This window comes from Homo sapiens, chromosome 11 (genome assembly GCF_000001405.40).
Source record: "Homo sapiens chromosome 11, GRCh38.p14 Primary Assembly".
In the NCBI taxonomy this organism is placed as follows: domain Eukaryota; kingdom Metazoa; phylum Chordata; class Mammalia; order Primates; family Hominidae; genus Homo; species Homo sapiens.
This window is the reverse complement of record NC_000011.10, coordinates 114,514,693-114,527,576: the sequence shown is the minus strand read 5'-3', so window position 1 is coordinate 114,527,576 and position 12,884 is coordinate 114,514,693. Positions and strand designations below refer to the sequence as shown.

General features: G+C 37.8%; 2 protein-coding genes and 1 non-coding gene across 13 annotated transcripts in view; 1 reads left to right on the top strand and 2 right to left on the bottom strand.

Annotated features, from left to right (window-relative positions):
* The window catches only part of NXPE1 (neurexophilin and PC-esterase domain family member 1), a 40,948-nt gene extending 32,305 nt beyond the window's left edge, over nt 1-8,643 (top strand). For 9 of the 10 annotated variants that reach the window (NM_152315.5, XM_011542598.4, NM_001367953.1 and 6 more), the window contains 2 exons: nt 4,486-4,698; nt 5,074-8,643. In NM_152315.5, the coding sequence (NP_689528.2) occupies nt 4,486-4,698; nt 5,074-5,609 (749 nt within the window). In that variant the 3' untranslated portion in view covers nt 5,610-8,643. Of the gene's footprint in view, nt 1-4,485; nt 4,699-5,073 lie in introns of those variants that run through there. The other variant, XM_047426373.1, reaches the window with a different exon arrangement.
* The window catches only part of NXPE2 (neurexophilin and PC-esterase domain family member 2), a 349,427-nt gene that overhangs the window by 286,126 nt on the left and 50,417 nt on the right, over nt 1-12,884 (bottom strand). Inside the window, exons 2-3 of one of the 2 annotated variants that reach the window (XM_017017207.2) lie at nt 9,865-10,021; nt 865-954 (exon numbers count right to left, since the gene is read on the bottom strand). The gene's annotated coding sequence lies outside the window, so the exon portion shown is untranslated. The remainder of the gene's footprint in view (nt 1-864; nt 955-9,864; nt 10,022-12,884) is intronic. The other variant, XM_017017209.2, reaches the window with a different exon arrangement.
* On the bottom strand, nt 345-448 carry LOC124902825 (small nucleolar RNA U13). Its single transcript, XR_007063010.1, has one exon. It is a non-coding gene; the product is annotated as a small nucleolar RNA U13 (small nucleolar RNA).

The following is a 12,884-nucleotide window of genomic DNA, read 5'->3' as shown; positions in this document are numbered from 1 at the left end:
CACTGTGCAAATGTCTTTGAAGGACGGATATCTACAGCTTCAGAATAGGAACACTTTCGGTTTTGGTTTCCTAACTCTCTGTTGGCATAACCCCCTAACATTTAGTTGATGCAATTACCAATTTTATATGGAGCTTTCATCTGATTATATGTTTTAAAGACAAACACAAAGCCCTGTTACTTATGAAAGAATATTTATACTACCTTAGCTTTAAAACAACTTTTTATAAAGTCTATCTTAGTTTACCGATAACATCCATCATGATACTTACTTCAACTCATAATAATTTATTGCCACCATTTATTCATTTATTCCACAAATGTTTATTTATTTATTTTTCCTCACATCATATGGGTAATGTGCTGATGTCATAACAAGGTTTGAGGGAGGCACATCTCACACATGAGCATGAAAACCCAATCATCATGATTCTGAACTACAAAAGGATCAGCAAACATTTACTGAGCACTGAATAGATATCAGGCATTATGGACAAATGGAGAAAAGTAAATGCTCAGTTAGCTTGCAATGTGAAAGACATTCAATCTACGAACTCTATGAAGACAGTAAAGAGGCAAAAGAGCTTATGTTAAAGTTGGTATTTGACTGAGTCCTGAAGGATACGTGTAGTCAGAGAATGAAGAAGAGAAACCTCATAAAGATCATGGGTAGTGTTGCTGGATTTAAGCAAATAATAATACAGGGAATCAAATGAATATGAGTAATTTCTAATTGCCTGTCATATATACATTGAGAAAAGGGGAAAATATTGCATGGACCATACTTACACTAAAAAATTATTCCTTGTTAGAAGTAATACAAATTTAATACGGTGTCCTGTATTTTTTATCTAACTCTTTTTACCTGATAATTCCCGTCATGAGCAAAGTCATCATGGACTTCTTCAATAGGCCAATGGGGTGAGCATATTGTGGAATGCAGCAGAGGATAAGCCTAGAAAGAGAGGAAGAACCTAATCATGAAGGTTCTCAAGTGTCATGCTGAGGATTTCAGTGATTATTCAGTAGACTTGAAAGCCACAGAAACCAACTGAGGAAGAGAGTGGTATGATCCACTTTGTGGTTTAAAATGCAAATTCACAATTTAACAAAAGCATGATCTGCAGAAAGGCAATTTAAAATGTCACTAAGGAATATAAAATAAAATTCATATAAATAGAAGGAAAAAATACTGTCTCTAGATGGGATGATTTTATATTTAAAAGAATGTCAGTTGTCTATGTATCATTTTCTTATTGCTGCTATAATAAAGTGGCTTTAAAAAACAAAAATATATCATCTTATAGTCTGTAGTCCAGATGTCCAATGCTGGTCTCATTGAGCTAATCCCAAGGTAGAGCAGGAGCATGTTCCTTCCTGGAGGCTCCAGGGGAGAATCTGTTCCTTTGCTTATTCCAGGTTTTTAAGGCTGCCCACATTCCTTGCAGCCCTCTTCCTCTATCTTCAAAGCCACAGCAGAGGGTCAAGTTTTCCTGTCACATCTTTGACCCACTCTTCTGCCTCCCTCTTCCACTTTTGAGGACCAATGACATTAGATTGGGCCTACCCATGTAATCCAGGATAGTCTCTCCATCTCAAAGGCCATACCCTGGTCATAACTGGAAAAGGCAACATTGTTGTGGGAATTAAGGGACAGGAGAGACCAATGGATGGAATAAGAGGATTTTATTTAGGTGGCTACCTGCCCAGTGGATTAACTTCCAAAGGCTGAGCCCCGAACAAAGACAGGGCTTGACTCTTATACATGTACCTGAAAGGGTATTGGCTAGCTTGAATATACACTTCACTAAATGGTGCAAAACCTACAGGGCGGGCAAGCAAGCTTACAGAAGCAGAACAAAGGCAGTTTATCAAACAGTGACAGGTTTTACAACTCAAGCCAGGTGTTGCAACTCAGGCATATGTTGTGACCTTCACTGTGCTGCACAGAAGGGAAAAACAGGCACTTACAAAACTTGCAAAGATAATTTTAAGAATAGTAAGGGGGGAAGGGGGAAGCTGAATGAGAAAAACTTGTTTTTCCCAACCTTGCTTTGGGATGGGAGGGAGAGACTCTGAAGCCCATCCCTTCTGGGACCCGGCTCTGCAGATAATGCTACCAAAGCCTCATCAGAGCCCTGCCCTTCCCTGGGTCTTAGAGTGGGTCAGCCTAGTACAGGAAAACTTGTTTTTCTTTTTATATCTTCTGCTTCAACATATTCACAGGTTTTAAGAATTAGGATGTGGATATCTTTGGGGGACTATTAGTCTCCCTATCTAATAAAAAATATAATGGAATCTATTTCTCAGTGGGCAGGTCTATGCAAACCTACTCCCAAAGTTTGAGGAAGCTGAGAGGCCAAAAAAGAGTCTGACACATCCAGTTTCTCGAAACATTTAGTAGGGACTTACAAGCAGAAGCCATGTTTATGTCTCCATTGTTGAGACAAGATGGTGGATCTCCACACCATTACCCCCAGATCTAGGGCTTACAGAGCATAAGGGAAGGGTGGTTCAGATGGGATGTACAGGACAATTGAAGTACAATACCACCAAGGCTGTTTGACCTACGGGCAAGATTTACCATAATTATCTGCTGTTATACAAGAAACACTAGATAAACCGGGGTTAATCAGGAGCCAACATAGCAGATTAGCATCTAAAATGGAGTTGCTTTTGCCTGATATACAGAATCCTGATATTATTACCCACATACTGTTCAAAATGCTCAAGCTTATTCTAAAACTATTAAGTAAAATAAACATGTAAGAGTAATCATAAGCAAATTTGTTATAAGTTTGAGACGTGGCAAAATGAATACCTGACACATAAAGATTACACAACATAGGGTTTACAACAATACACTTAAAGGCTATGTTCTCAGCAAAGTGTGCCAGTACATTATTAGGATAAAGAATACTTAATAACTATGAATCTCAAGTTTCCAGGGTCATGGTATTCAATCATCTAGGGTGCAATGCTATCAAGCCTCATAGAAACCCATCAATATCACACTGTAATTCCAACATAATTATAGGATTATACAAACTCCCTTTAGTAAGCCAAATCACCAGGACTTAAGAGCTATTCCAAGTGCACTTTCCAATTCTGCCACCAGCACCATTTTACCACTTTGTCCATAGGTTACAAATACAATACAACCATGTAATGATGCACTATTCTGTGGACATAGGCAGCCAGAGACTGCAAGGCCTCTGAGGAACTAAGCAAGGAGGGTAAAGCAGAAACTGCTGATGGTTCCCCAATACTCACTGCCTTCTCCTTCTTTAGTAATAGAAACCAGTTGTGGCTAGACCCATGGCTATCCTTTCTTATATCTAGTTGTGGCCATGACTAAGTTTTTTCCAGAAGTGCAAGTGGGAAACTTCTAGGTCATGCTTTAAAAGCAAAACAACTGGCCCTCCCTATCCATTTCTTCCCTTACTACTAGCCGAACTTTAGATATAATGTGAGAACAGCAAGAGCCAAGTTAGACCATGAGATTAAAGCCACACAGTAAGAATGTCATAGCCACAACATAGAAGGAACAAGAGTCCCTGACACCATGCAATGGCATATTAGCCCTGGCCTTCTCACTCCAGGCCTGTTATGTGAGACAGAAATAATCTTTTATTTTTAAGTCATTATTATCTTGGTCTTTCTTACAGCATTCAAACTGGTTTCCTATCTCATACAGAACGTAGTATCAGTATAGAAGTCCTGATATAACAAATCCTAAAATACAAGGCATTGGCTCAGTGATGGGATGGCAGCATAGAGAGTGGTAAGGAAACATGACAGGAGAAATTGGATGCCCTTTGTTATGCCATAACAAGACATTTGCTTCACTGCTACCTACCTGTAATAGAAGGCAGACCATGTGCAAACAGAGCCTGAAACTCTAGTGAAACTTCCTGGATTATCTCAGAATATTGGTTTGTATTGGATGTTGCATGTTGCTTTTAGCAAAGTCTGGTTTTACAAAAAATTGTCAAGCTAGGTGACTATTATACTATTTGAGGTTTTTATATTTAATGTACATATTTTAAGCCATTTTTTGAACACGGAAAAATTAAGATTATTCATTCCTTCATTAATGAAACAAAGGTAAAGAATTTTATACAGCGGCACCAACTGGCAGACCACTAACATCATTTGGGTAAGAGACAAAGACAGAAGTCACCACAGAGTCAGGAAAAAAGGATAGAACGTCAAAGAAAGGATAGAACGTCAAGATTTAGCTCATGACCAAATTTAGGAGGAAAGGAATTAGACAGAAGGCAAGATGACTCAAAATCTCTTAAAGGAATAAGCAGAAGTGCCTGAAGCAAAGCTAATGATCAAAGAATAGGACTAGAAAGGGACAGAAAAAGGAAATAGGCATTACAGGAAGGGGGAAAGAGAGCAAGAAAATGAAAGACCAGGAAAGAAGGCTAGATGTCTAAGTTTTGCCAATAAAATCATTTACGAGTGTCTTTGTTACCAGAGAGAGAAAAAATAGAAGAGACATGCCAAGTTGGAATGAAGCCTCCTGTCCCTGGTGGTTATACTTTACAAGGAAAATGGATAACAACATTTTGCAACCAGGTTCAGTTAGACACAATTAAGATAAATGGCTGTTTGAAAGGCAAACTCATTTACCTCCTGGGAGACTCTACACTACGTCAGTGGATCTACTACTTCCCCAAAGTTGTAAAAAGTAGGTAGTTACTTTATATTCTCTTAGAAATTCAGGCTGGTTTTAAAGTACTTTTAATGAGGTCTCTATTCTCTCGTTTGAGCTATTTTGTTTTTTACTTCATTTGGCTCTCTGGATTTGAACCTTTACATTTAAAATGTATTTTATTCCTTCTTTCATAAGAAATGTTGGTCTTCTTTTAAAATTCCAGTGAAAACTTTACATTTTTGATTGACATTTTACATGTATGAACTGGGGGTACTGTACCCTAGAGAGTAGAAAGGCTCCAGTGAGCAATTATCTAGGTAGGGTGGGTATTTTAAATGATAGGACATTCTTTTTCATGAATATTAACCATTATCTTCTATTTAAAACATCTATTTGTTTTTTTATCAGCACTGAAGTTTTTTGATCTTCATGAAACTGGAATCTTTAAGAAACATTTGCTTCTGGATGCAGAAAGACACACTCAGATTCAATGGAAAAAACATAGCTATCCCTTCGTCACTTTCCAGCTCTACTCTCTGATAGATCATGATTATATCCCTCGGGAAATTGACCGGCTATCAGGTGACAAAAACACAGCCATCGTCATCACCTTTGGCCAGCACTTTAGACCATTTCCCATTGACATTTTTATTCGCAGGGCCATCGGTGTTCAAAAGGCTATTGAAAGACTGTTCCTAAGAAGCCCAGCCACTAAAGTGATTATTAAGACAGAAAACATCAGGGAGATGCACATAGAGACAGAGAGGTTTGGAGACTTCCATGGTTATATTCACTATCTTATCATGAAGGATATTTTCAAAGACCTCAACGTGGGCATCATTGATGCCTGGGACATGACCATTGCATATGGCACTGACACTATCCACCCACCTGATCATGTGATTGGAAATCAGATTAACATGTTCTTAAACTACATTTGCTAAGGGATAAATACTATACAAAATCACTAGGAACCAATCTCTGCACATAATCCCACATGTATTGTAAAGTAAGTTTTACTCATTTTAGGAACTAAGGAAAATAAATTTAAAAGAATCTGTTTGGGGAGGAAGGCTATGTAAGGACAATGACAACTGATAAGGGATGCAAAACCAAGAGAATCATTCATGAAGAATGACTATACCATGCCTGGTTCTGATGCTCGTTTAAAATATTAAAAAAGTTTTTTAAAAGCCATGTTATTAAGCTGATTTGAAAATATCTGTACAAATTCATGATGCTTTCTATTTCCAATATAGATATTTCCTAGCTCTGTCTATTGAAAAGGCCTAGGAGCAATGATAACCCATTAGCAATAATCACTCCGAGCACCCTAACTGTGATGTCTAAGAACCCTTCCTCAATAAAAGAAAAGAGGCATCCTTGAAGGGAAGGCTGATTCCAGGACTGGAACAGAAAATATGTATACCATGAGCCTGGACATCTTGTTATGCCAGAAAGCAAATAATCAAAGACAAATGGAATCATATCATGGAACAGAGGAGGTAACCCAAAGGAGTCTCTTCATTGGCCATAGATAGATTAGTTTTAGCATCAAAAAGACTAATGACTGCAGTTAATTGAAATACATAATATATAAAATCCATGAGGTCATAGCAATACAAAAAGAGACATGCAAGAATAAAAGCAAAATCTCTCATGTGTCGTAAGTGGAGTTGGGTAAACCCTTATTTTGAAAATTGGCAACAAAAGGGAAATATATGAACATTTATCCTCTTTCCTGTTAAAGAGAAAATCAATAACCCTAATAGATAAAGGAAATTTCTTCTTTTTGGAAGAATTACAGCTAATGAATACAGAAAGAACGACAGAATTAGGAAAGCACCATTTAAAAACTTCTACTCAAATAAGTAAATAAGGCAGAGATCATCAGTGAATGAACTTTTTTAAAAGGTTTGATTGGAACTTTACTATGGATATAGCAGGCTGTCACTTCTGAATCCACTGCTCAAACTTAGCTTTATTAATTTTAAAGCTTTGTAACAGCAGGACAACTGGTCATTATGTCCTACATGATTTGATGCAATGTAAAGTATACAACACCACCTATGAAGGAGCGAGATCTGTAAGAAAGATGCTCAATTTGGAAGTCATCATTATATATAGGTGCCTGCTAAAAATGAGGAGATGGTAATATTTTCACACACAAAGGGAACTCTCATACACTCTTGGTGGGAATGTAAGTTGGTACAGCCATTATGGAAAACAGTATGGCAGTTCCCCTAAAAACAGAACTACCATATGACCCAGCAATCCCTCTGCTGAGTATCCCAAAGGAAATGAAATCAGCACTTCATAGAGATATCTGCATTCTCATGCTCACTGCAGCATTATTCACAATAGCCAAGACAGAGAAACAACATAAGTGCCCATCAATAGATGAACAGATAAATAATTTGCAGTATATATGTACAATGGAATATCATTCAGCCTTACAAAAGGAGATGCTGCTATATTTGCAATAACATGGGTGAACCTGGAGGACGTTACGCTAAGTAAAATAACAATATTGAAGGAAAGAAATAATACTGAAAGAAAAATATTGCTTGATCTCACTTATATATGGAACTTAAAAACTACACATAGAAACAGGGTAGAATGGTAGTTATCCAGGCTGGGAGGAAGAGAAAACAGGGAGGTGTAGGTCAAAGGGTACAAACTTGCAGTTCTATTGGATGAATGTCTAGAGAGCTAATGTACAGCATGAGAACTATAGTTAATATTGTATATGGAAAATTTGCTGAGAGACTAGATTTTAGGTATTCTACCTCAATTAAAAAGGTAATTGTGGCCAGGCACGGTGGCTTACGCCTGTAATGCCAGCACTTTGGGAGGCCTAAGCGGGAGGATCACGAGGTCAGGAGATCGAGACCACAGTGAAACCCCGTCTTTACTAAAAATACAAAAAAAAATTAGCGGGCAAGCTCGCCGAGATGGCACCACTGCACTCCAGACTGGGCTACAGAGCGAGACTCTGTCTCAAAAAACAAACAAACAAACAAAAGGTAATTGTGCAGTGAGGAATATGTTAATATACTGACTACAGTAATCATTTCACTATGCATATGTATATCAAAACATCACACTGTATACCTTAAATGTATGCAATAAAAAATAAAAGATACATACACAAAATTCTTTAAATGTCCCACACACAAGACAAATACGTGTTCAAATACATCAGTCTCTGAAGCCTCTGCACCACTCTACACGCTGCTCCTTCTGACTAGAATGCCCTCCTGCCCCTCCTTCCACCTGTCAAACTCCCAATCACCCTTTAAAACCAGATTGAATTATTTTCTTCTGTGAAGCTTTCCCTGACACCCCGGGAAAGAATAATGTTTCCACAGTGTTTTGTCATTTACTCCATAAAAGAAACAAAAACATGTATTTTTAAAAGTATCTGTTATCTCTAATAGCTTGTAAACATCTTGAGGAAAGAGACTAAGTTTTGCTTCTTTTTCCCCCAAAGAGAACTTTATTAAAACATTTACCATCTCTTTAGAGAGAGGTTTTACCATCTCTTTAGAAAGCTCCAGAATCTACAACCAGGAATAAGTGTTAATGGGATAGAACCAATGAGAGAACAGCATATGATAGTGAAATGTACTTTATTATTAATACGAATTCAGTGGGCTCACAGAATGAACCTTTTTGCCAAACGGGGGGAAAGCATTTTCTGTAAAGTATCTTTAGAAAAATATGTATAATTTGAAAAATGGTTATCCAAATTTAACATTTGTCATATAAAAGGCTCATAAAACGTGTGTGGCTGTGTTTCTCAAAATTGTGGGGTCAATTGGTCACATTATGCCTAGACATTCTGGTTTTGTTCTTGGGGTTAATAATGGTTGTGGTCTTATAAGAAAAGGAAATCTGGAAATCTTGTCCCTGTTATTAATACACCTGTCATTACTAATAAAAGTGGTTTGTTGATATGCTAAATAGGTTGAAAAAGCTGTCACTTTGCATGAAATTAACTAGGGAATACTTCTTTATAGCATGAATATGTAAATGTTCAAAATTTCACAGTAAACTCAAGAAATTAATTTCTAGTTCTCTCACCTTGTATCCAATATAAGTGCAAATTAACTTACATTTAACCTTCCTGGGCTGAGGTAAGTAAATTTGCAAACACAGAGTTAAAAGCTTCCTTTTTATTCCCCAAAAACATTTCTGTTAATTCACAGCCCTTCCCTGGATGAGTCAAGATTTTTGACACTCTTGAGGTGTCACCACAGAGCAAAGGATACCTCAGAGCAAAGTGATGGTCTGCCCATTTCTCAATTCCCCCTTCTATCTATTCAGTTTCCAACAATTAAGATTTCAATTTCCAAATATATCCAAAAGATCTTCAGACATCCAGACAAGAACCCCATTCACAAAAACAAGGTGCTCTTACATACAGTAAAAACATTCCCTTTTTGTCAAGGTTTATTTTTCCAGTCTTCACCTGAGGCTGGTAGCTGGCAGCATCTTCTTTAAAGATAGGATTTTCCTTCATTGAAATATTCCATGTGGCCCTTTGGCTATCTAGGCATGTTTTACAGCCTAAAGGTGTAACACTTAGAGCACAGAGCAATGGCTGTGGGGCTGAATGTGCTGAGCTAATCCTAAAGTTTTCTGTACCTCTCAGCAGATCTCGGAGAGGCAAGGCAGATGTTGCTGAGCACAGTGATTCCCGCCACTGTTTCTGGTCTCAAAGCCTGAATCGTGTTAATTGCAGCTCTTGGTAAGGAAAAAGGAGTGCTGGTGTGAAGATAAGCACCAAATAGCAGAGAGCCACATTCAACCCAAAATTTATACCCAGAGGGTGGGAACACTTAAGTCCCATCATCGCATACTACAGAGCCTGCTCCAACCTCACAGGAAGCCAAGACATCCAGGCACCTACGCACCTTGTGAACCTGTTCCCAGCATTCCTAAGGGTCACTTTGTAATCCATGGCATGTGCCTCCCCCTGGTACTTGTGTGGCTATAACAAAGAGGAGGACTAGCAGATGCAAAGCTGTGGGAGCAGAGCCACCAGGGGTGCAGCTGGGACCTCCATCAGGGCATGGTTTATGAAGGCCCCTAAATGGTCTGTGTGCCACCTTGATGTCAGTTTCCCACCAAGCCTCCTTCTCCCCTTACTTCCTGACCCCCAACCTCTGGTTTCTCTATTCTCTTCCAACTCACCAGAGTGGAGGAAGCATCCTTCATGGAGATGCACAGCTGTGATCCCAGCTCCATGATTGGAACCATTTTATTCATCTTTAGTCCTTAGCACTGGGCCCAGCACATAGTAGCAAGCAATAAATATTTGTCAAATAAGTGATGCTGTATCTCTGTGTATCTAGAACATGACATAAAACAGAAAATAAATGGTAGTGTACATAAAAAAGGGACACAGCACATTTCAGAAATTAATCAAAAATAAATCTTCTGTGAACTGAGAGAAGGAAGAATCAAAATAAAACAGAGTAGCACCATGATCATCTATGAACAAGGGACCAAAATGCTGTGTTTATAGTGAGAATAATCATGGAACTTCTTTCCACCTCCTGATTTCTGGGTAAGGGAGGAGGGATGTGGAGCTGACATTATTGTGTAGGGAAGGGACAAATAATCTAAGAAGCAGGAAACCTAGGTCTTCCAAAAAATTTACATACAGCCACTAATTGCCTTGTCTTCAAGTTCCCTCCTTTTTGATTATGCTAATGATATATACTGAGAACCTGAAAGATCCCAACAGAGAAGACATTGAAGCAGCTGTAAGGAAGAACAAGGTTCTGGTCTGAGAATCATTTATTCAATAAACATGGATTTACTCATCAACTATTATATGGTAGGCCTTGAGATGAGGACACAGCGCTGAACAGGACAGGTGTGGTCCCTGTCCTCATTAACGATGATATAGAGAGAATACCAGTAAGTATCAGGCTATTGCAATACTGCATGATGCCCACTATGGAAGGGTGCCAGGGTGAACACATGGGCCACCCACCCCAGGGATGGGGGCTTGGGGAAAGCGTCCCAGAGGAAGTGATATCTAAGCCAAAACTAGAAGAAGAAGTAGGGCTCAGAGAGGCAGAAGAGAAGGGACAGAGAAAGTAACCCAGAGGAAAAAGGTGGGAAAGCATTCCAGAAGGAACAGCATGTACAAAAGGGACCATCTTTTCATGTGGCTTTGTGTCCGTTCCTCTCCTTGCGTGTGCTCTTATTTTCAGATAAGATGATTTGTAAAATAATGTGGCACTTCTGTTAAGGCTCATTATATAGATCATTTTTACAACTATCTGAATTCCAAAAAAGTTTTTCAATAATAATAATAATAATAAGGCTTGCTTTCTCCACTTATGCAATAAAATCTATCTCAGAATTCAATCTATCCCAGGTCAGACCAAGAGCATAGTATTAAATTATCTGGTGATGAATTATGGACATGTAGGTTTTTATTAATTGGGAAAGATTTGATACTCCATCACTGTATCTATAATTTTGTAATCTGAGAGACCAAGGTAAGCAAGACGGATAGAGTTAAATCTGTTTTCTCTTAACTTGAGACTCCTACTAAATTTTGAATTGCTCTTGATTAGGCTCTTGAGTGTCCTACCCTTGCCTGAATGTCCCTACTACACCTAGTATAAGACAGATCTGGTCCAGGAGCTTTTGTGTGCTCCTCAGTCTCTCCACCAACCCTAGGATTGCATTCAAGTAAAATTAACAGCAACAGCACACCCCCACCCCAAACACAACTGGTAGCAGAAATGTTAGATCACAGGCTTAGCAACAGACTGTCTGCATTTGAATTTTGACTCTGGTAGTTATTAATTGTGTGGCTATAGGCAAACTACTTAACATCTTCTTGCTTAATTGCCTAATCTGTAAAAGGAACATAAGATAGGACTAACCTCATAGCATCTATTGTTTGCCTCATATTCACTGAATGATCAGGTATCTGGCTAAATCTTCATCTTTTCCCAAAACCCTTCCATTAGGTCCCCTCTAAATCAATTCAAAATTGAAGCTTTATGGTGATTTTTCTTTTGAAATACCAGTACCTGCAAATCTAATGTGTTTTGACAACCCACTTTGAGGGCCACACCTTGAACCCTGTTATCACCTGAATTGCTCTACTTCAGAAAGACTGCCCTTTCATACTTACTTTCTAACCACAGCCTCTTACTCTTCTTTATTTCCTATAAGCTCATTCTCATTGCACCTCCCAGAAACTCTGAATTCAGTCACAGATTCAGTAAACAAAAATAGATCGAATGCTAGGCACTGTTTCCTTGTTTCTTCCCTTTTCTTTCATCTTATCAGATCCCTTCTGGTTCCAATTTCCTTTTCTTCCCAACCAGGGCCCTACAGTTAATTATTTGAACTATTTTCTCTGCTACACCCTCAAATTCTCTGAACACATGTTTTTCTGTTTGAAGTCTCAGTTTCCTCTCAGTTTCCTCAAAGGAAAGCATATATTAATTCTTAATTTGTTTCTTGGATAGTTTCATCTTTCTGAAGGTTAAAGAAGTAATAAGCAAAATTGTTTCTCTAGATCTTGTACATTACTGGAGGTTACAAGTTAATTTGTATTCTCACCTCATACCACATATCAAATAGATCCCAGGTTACTTATAGATTCAACTTTTTTAAAAATCCAACTATTACAACAAACTCAGGGGATATAGTTCTCATAAGCTCTTCTTTAAAAAAAAATAAAAGACTAGCTTCAGCTAAACAAGAGATAAATGATAAAGACTCTTAGAAACAGAATAATGACAAGTACTGAATCCACTTAATTATAGTACTAACCAAAGAACAAAATAAAACAAAACTATGGATATTATAAAGGGAAAACAATGTAAATATTATATACTATGACAATACAGAAATGTTGCAAATAAAAAAAGTTGGTGAAGGACAGGTGAAGATACTTCCTTAACATTTTTAGCCTCATTTTAAAAGATATTACTTAATATATTAACAAGATACATATAAATATATAGTTTATTAAAACTTGCTTTTAAGAAAATAGATGTGAACACAAAGATAAATAAGCAAAAAATACAGTCATAGAGAGGAAAAAGTTGGAGCAAGGAAGTATAAATATTTTAGTCGCTGTTTATGCTAGGGAGTCAATAAACACTGCTGAATAAAGAAAAGATGAAGTATTTTATGTAAATATATATATAAATTTGTGTGTTATGTAAAGAAAA